A 13366-nucleotide genomic window follows, 5' to 3' on the forward strand; every position below is an offset into this window, starting at 1 on the left:
AGTGATTGAATTACAGCTAAGCATGGGGCCACTGAGACCTGAGAGAAGTTCCACTGGAGCCCTTATGAGAATTCTTGCCCTTAAGATAAAGATCCCATTAAAGACAGCCCTATTTCTGCCTTTGGACATCACTGTGTTAGAATGTGTGGCCTAAAACTGCTGTAAAGAGGTGGAGGCAGAATCCTACCACCTACTCTCTCTTTGTTATGTGACTAATATCTTCCCTCTCTGTTTGATGTTTAAGAGTTTTTTTATTACTTGCAACTGATAGCTTTCTAACCAATATACCATCACTTTTTTTCATGTATTCATTATTCACATCCACATAAGCACTTCTACATGTGAGAGCTGAGATAGTCACCAGGAATACAGTATCGATAAATGCATGAGCCCTCGCTGCCTTCAAGGAGCCTATAGTCATGCATTCCTGCATCTGTCATGTCCCCTGCTTGCACTTGTCTCTCCTGATCATTTCTGACCCTTTGTGGCTCACCTCTATAATATACACACCTAATTGTTTACCTTCTCTGTGAACTGCCATGACTGACAACCCTTCCTCAATGCCATACACACCCTATGCTTTTGTTATAGCACTTTTCAGACTGCCTTGCAATCGCCTCTTCATTAGCCTGTGAGCTCCTATTGTGAACCCCCGAGGCAGCCACAGGGCCTGGATATTAATAATGCTTAGTCAGGCATCTGCTAACTAGCCACCCTAAGGACTGGGGGCACTGTGAAGGCAAGTTCAAATGTTGGGAAGAAGTCACCAGCTATTGCTTAGAAACCAGAGCAGGGGATGCAGGCAGGTCCTGAACTACAAGCCAAAAGATGAGAGAACACAGAGAGGAAGGAGGGCCATATTGGCAAAGGACAAAAACCCCTGTCCCTCTTGGCCCTTCCTCCAAGCCCCAAACTCCTTGACTTCTCCTCCCAGAGGTCACTGCACAACCAGGAATCCACCCAAAAGAAATATGAAGCTTTCATCTGTTTAGCTGTTTGGCTGGATGGGCCCTTGTTTTTATACTCACGGGTCTAGTTAGGTAACACTCTTCCCTTTCACCAAAGTTCTGCAGCCCTCCACCCCCACCCTCCTTGATCTTCAGACATGGCTCATTGTGTTTCTGGCCCTGCCTGCCTCCTTTCTAACCCATCCTTCTTAGTCAGTTCATCAGAAAGTGGTTTCCTGATTGATTCTTCTCAATGGGTTTTCTCAAAAGCCCTTTTAAATTAAATTATATTATTTGTTCCAAGGTAACTAAAGCCAACATAAGCCAGCCCAAGTTCCAGTGCAGCTCAAACAGGTGACTTCTCATATGATGCAAAGGTTCTTAATTACAGACCACAGAATTCACTCTAGTGGATTTAAACACAAGGGTCTTTATTAAGAGGTAAAAACAGTGAAGAAGGCTGAAGAAACAAATCTAGACGAATAGTTCTCAACCCTTGCTTTACATTAGAATTGCCAAGAGAGCTTACAAAAATAAAATGCTCATGTCTTTGTTCAAGCCAATTAAATCAGAATTTGTAGTATTTTTTTTAAAGGTCCAAGTAATTCTAGTGTATAACCAAGATTCAGAGCTATTACTCCAGGCCAATGGGTCGCAACCTTGGCTACATACTGGAATCACCTGGGAAGTTTTAAAAATGCTGATGCCCAGGCACCACCCTTAGAGATTATGACTTAATCTGGGGTGTGGCCTTGGCACCTGCAGTGGTCAAAGCTTCCCAGGTGATTCTAATTAGAGCCTTGGCAGAGCTCCAGTATAGTCTAGGCCAGTACTTCTCAACCTTGACTGGGTGTGTGAATCACCTGGGGGTGTAGCTGATTCTTTAGGAGTGGGCTGGTGCCTGGGATTCTACTCCTGATCTGTGGACAACAGTTTGAGATGCTAGGCATTAAACTGAACTTCCAGGATTGGCTCCCAAAATTACAGCACAGAATCGGGCCGCCTAAGGAGCTGCGGCCTCCCCTGCAACCAGGAAGCTGCGGTATCTGACATCTGCCACCAACAGCTGTTAGCAACAGAGCTAGCACTCCTGCAGTGACACCCACTGGCCAAGTAAATGTCCACACACTCCACCTCTCTGCTCAGTGACTTAGATCCAAATCCAAATCTTACCTGACTACAGCTGCTTGGTGGATCCTAAGGCCACACCCTGAATCTACCTGCAAAAGATGCCTGGGAAACATATTTGCCAGCTCTTCAGTCTCAGCACGCTAGAGAGGGATTGAAACAAGTGTTGAATAAACCAATTAGCAGTTATGAGAACAGTGCCAGGAAAGTCACACTGCCTACCTTACTGAAGCCTGAAAGTCTACCATTTGAAAATAATTTCTTAAAATTAAGCACTGTTGGCCGGGTATGGTGGCTCCCGCCAGTAATCCCAGAACTTTGGGAGGCCGAGGCTGGTGGATCACGAGGTCAAGAGATCAAGACCATCCTGGCCAACACGGTGAAACCCTGTCTCTACTAAAAATACAAAAAATTAGCCAGGCGTGGTGGTGAGCACCTGTAGTCCCACCTACTCAGGAGGCCGAGGCAGGAGAATCACTTGAACCCGGGAGGCAGAGGTTGCAGTAAGCCGAGATCACACCACTGCACTCCAGCCTGAGTGACAAAGCAAGACTCCAAATCAAAAAAAAAAAAAAAAAATAAGCACTGTTGATAAATGCACAAGGTTATCCATGCCAGCAAAGAATTACCAAAGAATTAGAAACAGCCTTAGAAGACTGGCTAATCATGAAGCACCCTTATAGTGGAATAAAACTATGCAGCTAATGAAACAAAAAAATAAAAATAAAAATAAGGCAACTCTCAATGGGCTGATATTGAAGGATCTACAAGGCATATTAAAAAGTAAAATGTAAAAAAGCAAGATGCTATAATTTGTGCAAAAGGGATATAAGAAATACATGTACCTTTATGTTAGTAGGGACCCTCCGGAAGGATGCATACAAAATAGGATTCAGATACTGATTTCAGAGAGGGGAACTGGGTGGTTAGAGGATGGAGATGGACCATAGGCTTGGCACAATACATCTGTCCTACCTTTTGGATTTTGCACCTATTATATAAATAAATACAATCTGCTTTATAAATGAATTAAAATCTGCTCTATGAAAACGCCCTGCAAATTGTGACAGATGCATGCATGAATTTATTCAACACAGATGTACCTAACCCTCTCCCCATTCTGAGCCCTGTCTCAGTTCTGTGGAAGGGCCATGGCATGGTCCCCAAGACTGTAAGACCCCATGCCACAATGTGGTGAGTGCAACCGCAGAGGTGGACACACAGAGCCCCAGAGCACAGAGGAGAGGGTGATTGGTTTAGTCTAAGGGGCCCCGAGAATGTGGTCTATAGAAGGCATTGTTTGAAGGGAGACTTAAGGAAGATGTAAAATTGTGCTTGGTGAAGAAGAACATTCCAGACAGAGAGAACAGCTTGTGTGGTCTGGGGCTTGAGAGAAGGCACAGTATGCTCTGAGCAGTATGAGATAATAAGATGGCCAGAGCAGAGGTCATGGTGTCGGGGGTATACACCCACATGCATCTCCCTGAGCTCCCCACAACTCCCTGTTTGCGTGAGGATATACAGAGCAAATCATCACTGGATGGACTTTGAGGTTGGGAAGCTTTGATCTGAGATTCCCAGCTGTAGAGTGGTTCTCTTCTCCTGACCGAGTCCATCTGAAAAATGCCAAACAACAGGAACTACTAGACTCAGAGGTAGACCCAGCTGCACTTGATTATTGGTTTGCTTAGAAACACCTTGAACTAGGCTGGGTGCGGTGGTTCACGCCTGTAATCCCTGCACTTTGGGAAGCCAAGGTGGGCAGATCATGAGGTCAGGAGTTTGAGACCAGCCTGGCCAATATAGTGAAACCCCGTCTCTACTAAAAATACAAAAATTAGCCAGGTGTGGTGGCACGTGCCTGTAGTCCCAGCTGCTCAGGAGGCTAAGGCAGGAGAATCGCTTGAACCTGGGAGGTAGAGGTTCTGGTGAGCCAAGATTGTGCCACTGCACTCCAGCCTGGGCAACAGAGTGAGACTCCGTCTCAAAAAAAGTAAATTAATTAAAAAAAGAAACACCTTGAACTGAGGCAAAGAAGAAGCTAGACAACCTGTGCTCTTAAAACACTATTGTGAAATTTTAGGACCTTTATCTGAAGAAACTGCTTCATGCTTTGAAGGAGTGATGGGTCCTCCCACCACTGCCCACCGCCCACTCCCAGGTACTGCTGGGTTGAACAAAGGCAGAATGCTGAAGCCCACAGAGATGTCTCTGTCTGCATTCTCTCTCACCTTCCTCTTCTTAGGACCCCCCCTCTGCTGTGGGAGTTTAGATAGAGATACAAGCATTGAGAACACTGCAGCAGGCCAGAAAAGGGCAAAGGCATATTGGACAGGATCATGAAAGACATCATAGAGAGAGCCATTTAGGCTGCACCTGATGGGCAAGAAGGACTCAGGTGGGGAATAGGAGGAGGAGGTCAGGGACAGGGAGAGATGACACCACAAGAGCATGAGAAAGGGAGATGGGAAACACAGAGGCAAGAGAGACAATTTCCAGAGATGGTACATTCACCTCCCAGGCTGCTATAGCAACATACCACACTGGGTGGCTTAGAACAACAGAAACTAATTCTCTCATAGTTCTGGAGGCACAAAGTCTAAAATCAAGGTGCCATCAGGGCCATGCTCTCTCTGAAGACCCTAAGGAAAGATCCTTTCTTGCTTCTTTCTAGATCCTGGTATTCCTGAGCTTATAGAGACATCACTGCAAACTCTACCTGTGTCATCACATGGAAATCTCCTTGTGTGTCAAAATGTCCCTCTTCTTATAAGGATGCCAGTTATTAGATATAGGGCCCACCCTAATGCAGTATGACCTCATCTTCACATGATTACATTGGCAAAGACTATTTCCAAATAAGGTCATACATACAGGTACCAGGGATTTGGGACTTCAACATATCTTTTGAGAGACACAATTCAATACACAACAGATATTAAATAAGTTTCCTCTTCTGAGGAAACTGTGGAAGTTTAGTTAAGAATTCTAAGGATGTCTCCAAGCTCAGAGATAGAAAGTAACAGATCTGCAGGGCTCTCCATAGTCACTGCAGGGGACTTATGACAAGTGCCAGCCCTGCTCAGTTTAGACTTGGATCACAAGCAATGGAAAACGAGTGAATTTCATCAAAGGGTAGATCCTGTCCCTTTGGGGAGTCCTTCAGACTATTCTCAGGATGCTTCCAGCTCCAAAATTCCCCATCTGTACTGCAAGTCAGCCTGACTTTCCCAGGTCATCCACTTTGTGTATCTTCTCCCTCCTGCTCCCTCAGCCACCATCATCACCAGTCCTGTGTGCCATAAACTCAGGCTGAATTTCCTGGCTAATAAACTAGTCATTGCCAACAGCACAAATAGTTTCATGTGCCAACTGGCCATTTGCTTCTTAATAAATGGGAGCTTCTTGAGACAAAATTCTTTAATATGGAGGACAGATTTAGCCCAGTGGGGCTTTATCATGTTCCTTAACCCACTAAGCATCTAGGAGAAGTGGGACCTGACCCTTAGAGTAATCCAGTGCTTTGGGGATTGGCTCCCCAACTCAGGGTTAACTGTGTGACCTAAACAGACCTTCAGGGTGACATGGTGGAGAAAAGGGTATAACCTATTTATGAAAAAGAAAAAATGCAGTAACCCAGGAATCGTCAGGCCTGAGCTTTAGTCCCAACTCTGCTCTCAGTTGCTGTATGATCTGCAGTGAGCTCTCATGTCTGCAAAACTCATTCTAGTAATTATCCGTGTGACCAGCAGCAGGTCCCTTCTCCCTGGGCCTTAGCTCTTCTTCCTCTCAGTGGGGGAATGAACAGAGGTCTCCTCTGGTTATGACATTTATTAGTGGTTTTTACAAGATGGTTTGACTCAAATCATATTTTAAAAATTCTTGTCTGTGCTTGAACACTTCAAATGTTTTATTACTAGATCTACAGTACATAACAAAGTAATTGTGTAATTAAGAGATAATGTCAATGCTGTAGAACAATGTTGACAAGATAATAGCCTTCTGAAACCACATAAATGCCAAAGCAAGTGTACAGACTGATAGGTGGAAAAACAGAAAAACAAGTGGCAAATGGCCCACAAGCTCTTTGCAGTCCATGTTGGTTTATTTGCCTCTTTTCCCAGCTTCTGTCATGACATTCAAGTTCTGGTCTCCATCATGCCCCAGTTCCCAGGCATGTGGGTCAAGACTGAGAACGGCAGGTTTCATCTACGGTAGCTGGTCCCCATCGTCCCTTTACTTGCAGACTCACAGAAAATGAGTCCCATCGGCCCCCACGTCTGGAGGGGCTAGAGGTCATGTAGTTCAGACTCTCCTAGTGCCTGCCATTGCCAGATAAAGAAGATGAGACCAGAGTCAAGAAGGATTTGCTCTGGGGAACTTCTGAGCTGATTTATGGAAAAGAGCTGGAGCCCTGGATTCCTTCCCAATTTGCCACTTCTCCTTACTCTAGCCAGAATGCCTTACTTAGATGCATTTTCTCAGTGGAGAGAAGGGAGCTGCAGGAGGTGGAGAAGGGATGGTTCACATGACCTTGAGGCCCAGAGGCATTTCCCTGCAAGCAGAAGGAGGGGATCAGGCATTGTCCTAACCAGGCAGCCTAGAAAGAGGAAAGTCATGGAGTGATACAACTATGAAGGTCATGAGTGGGGAGGAGGGCTTGTTAGCTACATGTTACAGTATTTGGTTTTTTGTTTTGTTTTGTTTTGTTTTGTTTTTTTGAGACGGAGTCTCACTTTGTTGCCAGGCTGGAGTGTAGTGGCCCAATCTCAGCTCACTACAACCTCCACCTCCCTGGTTCAAGAGATTCTCCTGCCTCAGCCCCCTAAGTAGCTGGGACTATGGGCATGTGCCACCATGCCCAACCAATTTTTGTATTTTTAGTAGAGACAGGGTTTTACCATGTTGGCCAGGATGGTCTTGATCTCTTGACCTCATGATCCACCCGCCTTGTCCTCCCAAAATGCTGGGATTACAGGCATGAGCCACCCCACCAGGCCTAGATGTTACAGTATTAAGAAGGGCTGTGCACCCTTGAATTTGAGGAAAGGTAAGAATGGAGCAAAGAGGGACCGTGCTCCTGGTTCATGGGCATGGAAAGAGGCTAGATCACCCTCTTTTGGAAAAAGAGACCTTATGTGCTGCAAAGAGTACTGGGTTTGGAGCCAGAAGAACTGAGTAGAAGCTAGTAATTTGTTCAGTGACTTTGAATGAATAACGGACTTCCCCTTTCTGGGCTATAGCTTCCTTAGCTCTGAAATGAGGGCAATGAACCCAATCAATAGTGCCCACATACCCTGAACTGAGGCTAATTTCCATTTCCAACTGCTCCCTGGGTGGTTAGCATGATTAGGGGGCTAGCTACTCCTTGAAGCTTCTCCCAACGCTAGCATCCACAGATTCTAGGAAAAAATCAATTGATTCACAATGGTTTTGATAAATTCCTGGATACCAGAGCTATAACAGGGTCCTAAGTATAGTTGTGGGGTTAAGTTGCACCAGACCTATGAGAATAATGTCAGGTGGACATGCAATCCCTTGATCTCCCTGTTGGACACAGAAGCCAGGATAAATGGCCCACAGGTCCAAAGAGGTTTCAGCCCTGTCCTCCCACTCCTCCATGCCTTTGAGCATGCTATTCCCTCCTCCCCACCTTGGCCCCCAACCCAACCCTCCTCTCCTCCCCTTCCTATTCAACTTGGGATACCAACTGGGGAATCTCTGCTGACTGCTCTGAGCTGATTAATTACTTTCTTTGTCACACTGAATTATTTATATTGAGACCTGCCAGGATTGTTTGTTTTCAGATTTGTCTTGCAGATTAGACTTCTTGAGGGCAGAAACTGTCTTTTTGTCTCTCTAAATTGGGTGATGATCATAGTGTCTGCACAGAGTAGGAGCCCAATAAACTGCTATTAAATGACAGATACAGAAGGGGGCAGGGAAGTGCTGGGTAGAGAACGGCAGGTCCCTGGCGAGGGCTCCACCCCTGGTCCTGTGCCCATGGACCTAGGTGAGGACAGACACTCCTACCTTGGCGCCCAAATGTTGCATTTTCCAAGACCACCCTGGCCCGCCACGCCCCCATCCTGTGCCTATAAAAACCACGAGACCCTAGTGAGCACACACACAAGTGGCTAGACTTCGAGAGGAACACCTCGGCAGAAGAAGACACAAGTGTCTGGACATCGAGAGGATGTCAAGGGGAGCACATCGGTGGAAGAGCACATGACAGACGCCGGCACACCAGCAGGCCACTGACCGGCAGAAGGACGCAGAGTTTGGCCAGGGCGATCGGAGAAGAGTCCGGCCAGCCAGTGGACGACTCCAGAGGAAAACCATCTCCTTTCCGGCTCCCCCATCTGCTGAGAGCTACTTCCACTTAGTAAAACCTTGTGCTCCTTCTCCAAGCCCACGTGAGATCTGATTCTTCCAGTACACCAAGGCAAGAACCCTGGGATACAGAAATTCCTCTGTCCTTGTGATAAGGCAGGGGTCTAATTGAGCTGACTACCACAAGCTGCCTACGGATGGCTAAACTAAAAGAGTACCCTGTAACACATGCCCACTGGGGCTTCAGCTGTAAACATTCACCCCTAGACACTGCCATGGGGTCAGAGCCCCACAGCCTGCCTGTCTGTATGCTCTCCTCCCATTTCAACAAGGAGGAGAGAAAAAAAGTAGAATGGAAAGAAGGGAGAGGGCAGGCGATGGAAGGGAATGAAAGGAAGGAAGAAAAACGGTGGTTCCAAACTCCTTTCCCCCTGTGAGGTCAGTAGAGAAACTTCAACCCTCTTCTGTACCTGCATGCTTTAGTTTGCATCCAGCACTCAGCCTCGTGCTGCCCAAGGCCCTTCAGGTCTCTCTTCTCCTGGGTGTGTGGGAGCCCACGTCCCTGCTCCTGTGTCAGCTTCTATCCTTCAGGCGTGAGGGAAGGAAAACATGAAGCCCCCACCTAAGTCTCTGTCCCTAATTCACACTCCTGCCTCCCTCCCAGCACAGAAGCCAAAAGAAATATTAGATTCAAGCACCTTTATTCTGAGAGTGCATCCCCCTTCTTAAAACCATCAGTAACTAGGGGGGTTGGAGGATAATTATCTGCTCTACTTGAAAAACGAAATCTTCCTTCATTCCCTACCAGTTATTAACATGAAATGTAAATACAGCAGCAAATGACCCATTACCCATGGCCTGGGAAGTTCTTTTAAGCACAGTGTCTGCTTTTGCAGGCCATATAATAGAGTTCTTCAGTTTTTGATTTATAAAATCATGATTTCAATGATACCAACCATTATTTACTTGTTTATTATAAAAACAATAGAACAACAATAAAAGAAGTTAAAGGACGCCATTCTTTCCCTCATAGGGAAAGAATGTTTGCTCATAGGCATGTGGTGTTGGCTAGTGGCAATTATTGTGTAATCCAATTTTTTAATCCCATTTTTTTCACCTCATATTAATCCATAAGCATTTTCCATGTTCCTACACAATCTTCATAATTATCACTTTAATGGCTGTTTAATATCCCATCAGGTTGATGTGCCGTAATTTACTTAACCATAACCCTCTTTAGAACATAACCTTTTAAAATATTAAACAGAAAGCTCATCAAGGTTTTAAAATAGATGGGGAAGGCGGTTTCTTGGCAACGCACGTGGCATTTCTCAGGTGCGTATGCGCAGGTTGGAGCTGGAGCCTGGGTCTGAGCGGGCAATGGAAACCTGGCAGGGAAAGGGGAGAGGGGTGTTCTGCTCCCAGACTGCATCTTCCCCTGGGCTGCCAGTGCATGCCTTAGCAGCAGTCACTCACCTGCTTGGAAGCTAATAATATTACTAGTAATAACAATGGCTAATATTGACTGGGCTCTGCACTAAAAACTTTATAAAATGCATCTCATTTAATCCTCACAATCAGCCAATAAAGTGATACTATTATTTTCTTCTCCATTTTACAGCCAAACAAACAGACCCAGAGATTACACAGTGGGCAAGTGGTAGTCCTGCCCCCAGGGAGTCTGGCTTCAGAGTCCCTGCAAGTCTGAGCTCCTCTTTCAGTTCCGCAGCTTCTGTGCACTCAATGATTCCCATCCCGCAAGGCCCTCTGCACAGCTTGGCCAGGCTTGTCCTTACCAGGTTGTATCTGGAGCTTTTTGGGGCTTCATAACTCTCAGCCATGGCCTGGACATGGGTACACAAGGCTTTCTGGACCCACCATTTGTGAGTGACTTGCAGATAACGAGCAAGGGACATACACTGATGACAAGAATGGACTTGGGCAGAAACAACCAACCTGGATATGCATTCTGGGCTCTGGTATTTACTAGCAATGAGGCCTTAGGCCACTTACATCTCTTGAAGCCCCAGTTGCCTAGTCTGTAAAATGAAGATAATAGCATCTACCTCTCAAGGTTGTTGTAAAGATTCAAGGTGACATGTGTGACACACATGTAGTACTCAATAATGGGTACTGTTTCTATTATCTCAGCAGATAGATGAGGAACCAGTTTTAATAAGATAAATTCCTTAGGGTCAGAAGCAAACTCTCCACTTCTACCCAGTATGAGACAGAGAAGAAAAATGTGAACATCAAAGGAAAACGTAAGGGTTTTATTTTCCATCAGCTTCAAAGGTATGGCTAGTAGGGTGATAATAACGATAAAACAACAGTAGTAATACTGACATTTATCGAACATTTACTCATGTCAGGCACTATACTGCCCACTCCACATGTGTTAACTCATTTCCTCTTCAAGCATCACACAGTTGAGGAAACCGAGGCACAGCAATGGTTTTGTGGCTGCCTGTGGTATGTCCACAGTCTTTGCTGCATGGAAAATGACAGTGCATCTAGCATGAGGAGCAAGAAGCCCACTGTTCTGTGCTGAGCAGAGCCCCTTGGAGGACCCTTTTCTGTTCTCAGAGCCCTGCAGAGGGAGGAAGGGGGAGCTTCTGACCAGGACAGGGTGTTCTTGAAAAGAACCACCACAGTGAGTTCCTCCTTGAAAGGACTCCAAAATGTCCAGTAAAGACTCTGAATGTTCCAGGATGGTCCCATTAGGGAAGAGAGGATGTGGGGAGGGCTAGCTGCCCTCCTCAAACACTGGGGCTCCATTTTTGCTACTGGTGCCATCCCTGAGTCTTATTACTCTCTAAAAACCCCACACCTTGCCCAGCATATAACACATATTTGCTACAAGTTTGTTGAGTGAATGAATGTGAAGGACAAGAGTCTGTGAGGTCTCAAGGGGTAGTGTTATAGAATGTGGGGAAGCTACAGGGAGAGAAATCAACTCAGCACAAGGAGGATATGTCTATCCAAGTGTGCAAAGATGGCACGGGTGACATCAGCTGATAGGCAGTGAATCTACTGTTGCTGGATTTACTTCAGGAGAGATTGGAGCAATCACCAACCCAGGAGGCCAGCCATTAGAACACTGAACCACATGACCTTCAGGGTTCCCCGCAGCTCTGGAGTCCTGAGACCTAGATCTCCATTAGTCTCCTCTGAAAACTCTCTCTTTCATTTTCCATTCCTGAGATGGAAAGGAATTAAGAAGCTGATAAACTACTTTTTTGGAGAATATAGTGATAGAAAATTAGCTCTGTGTGTTGAACTGTGAATGCTTAAAGACTGATAATGCCTATACTTAATCCAGGGTGATACATCTTTAATGTCGGCATCATCCCCAGAATGCATTTTATGTTGGGGTGGAGATATCTTGGAGCCACAAACTGCCTTGGACATCTTGCTAAGACCTGAGGCCTTCTGCGCAGTAAATGAGTTACCTGTGGATGTCAGATCAGAGTTTGGTTTAGGAAGACACCTCTAGGGCTTGGATTCCTGTTTGTGAGCTGTTCTCACATCCCCAAAAGGGATGACTGGCAGCAAAGCAGGAGGCCATCTGTATTTGTTTTCTATGCTGCATACCAAATGACCACAAACTTAGTAACTTAAAACAACACCCATTTATTACTTCATGGTTTCTGTAGCTCAGAAGTCCAGGAGGACTTAGCTGGGTTCTCTGCTTAGGATCTCACAAGGCAGAAATCGAGGTGTTGGCTGACCTGGAATCTTCCCTGCAGGCTCTGGGGAAGAATCCACCTCCAAGATCATACAAGCTGTTGGCAGAATTCAGTTCCTTGCAGTTGTAGGATTGAGATACCCATTTTTTATGCCACCTGCCAGGCAGGTGTTGCTTCAGTATCTGAGGGCCCCTCCTCGTCCTTTCCATGTGGCCCCCTCATCTCCAAAGCCAGTGGTGGCACCTCAAATCTTTCTTGGGCTTCACAGCTTCCTAAAGCCCCTTCTGTGACCAGCTGGAGAAAACACTGATTTAGAAGGGCTCATGGAATTGGGTTAGAACCACCCAGGTGATCTCACATTCTGAAAATCAACCAATTGGTAACCTACATTACACCTGCAAACTCCTATTTGCCATGTCATGTAATATAGTCACAGGACTAATGTCAGGGGCAGCTATGATGGGAACAGCATGGAATTCTGCTTACCACACCATCTGAGTAGATGGAGAGTGGTGTGCAGGCAGAGGTACCGGGGAAGGAGAGAGACAGAATGACATTGGGGCTGGTGCTCAGATGTGGAGACATAGGAACCATTGAGCATTCGTGCTTTCTGAGGAAGAATCCACAGACCTAGAGAACCTGTGGCAAGGCCTTTTTTCCTCTGCCAGTGTCTCCCACAAAGCCCCAAAACTGGATTCACAGGTGCCCCTCAAAACATACATGCCAGATCTGGGTCCACCCTATTTCCCAGATCAACCTGGCCAGGCTGAAATGTCAGCAGCAGCCTCAGCCGACACTGCCAACCACCCTCAGAATCTGTGAGGTGGGGAAGGCTGGGGAGCCTGAGACTACCATGTCACTGTGTCACACTGCGGCAACTGCATTCCCCAGTATCACCAGACACCAAGCTTCCAGCTGAGGGCTCCTTCCAGCATCCGCCCCGCCTCCTGTAGGCCAGGTCTCCCTGGGAACCACAGCTGCTGAGCTGAGTCCCTGCCACCCTCCCCTAGAGGCAGGGCCTCCTTGCTTTGTCTCCACACTTGTTGGGGTCCTGGCCACACAAGCCCTAGAAGCATTTTGGTCCCTATTTTTTGGTGAGCCTCTATTGAGAGAGCATGCCACAGCATTCAGTCAGACCCTGGTTCAGAGGTGGAAAATTACACAGCTTAGAAGTAGCAGGATTCTAATACCTGTCCTTGGATATGCTCTTGGGCTGGCTCAGAACCTGGGATGGGAGGGTAGCAACACAGCCATGACCTGGGACTCAGG

General features: G+C 46.4%; 1 long non-coding RNA gene across 1 annotated transcript in view, besides 2 other annotated features; it reads right to left on the bottom strand.

Annotated features, from left to right (window-relative positions):
* LOC101929555 (uncharacterized) overlaps positions 1 to 13366 on the bottom strand; it is a 144395-nt gene that overhangs the window by 31610 nt on the left and 99419 nt on the right. The gene's annotated exons all lie outside the window — the stretch shown is intronic.
* Positions 7498 to 8200: an enhancer, noted in NCBI's record as "OCT4-NANOG-H3K4me1 hESC enhancer chr6:40885732-40886434 (GRCh37/hg19 assembly coordinates)". NCBI's record gives its function as "activates a minimal SCP1, AML or CMV promoter by ChIP-STARR-seq in primed H9 embryonic stem cells {active_cell/tissue: H9 hESC(primed)}" and the evidence as "EXISTENCE:reporter gene assay evidence [ECO:0000049][PMID:30033119]".
* Positions 8201 to 8901: an enhancer, noted in NCBI's record as "H3K4me1 hESC enhancer chr6:40886435-40887135 (GRCh37/hg19 assembly coordinates)". NCBI's record gives its function as "activates a minimal SCP1, AML or CMV promoter by ChIP-STARR-seq in primed H9 embryonic stem cells {active_cell/tissue: H9 hESC(primed)}" and the evidence as "EXISTENCE:reporter gene assay evidence [ECO:0000049][PMID:30033119]".

This window comes from Homo sapiens, chromosome 6, assembly GCF_000001405.40.
Source record: "Homo sapiens chromosome 6, GRCh38.p14 Primary Assembly".
NCBI classification, from domain to species: domain Eukaryota; kingdom Metazoa; phylum Chordata; class Mammalia; order Primates; family Hominidae; genus Homo; species Homo sapiens.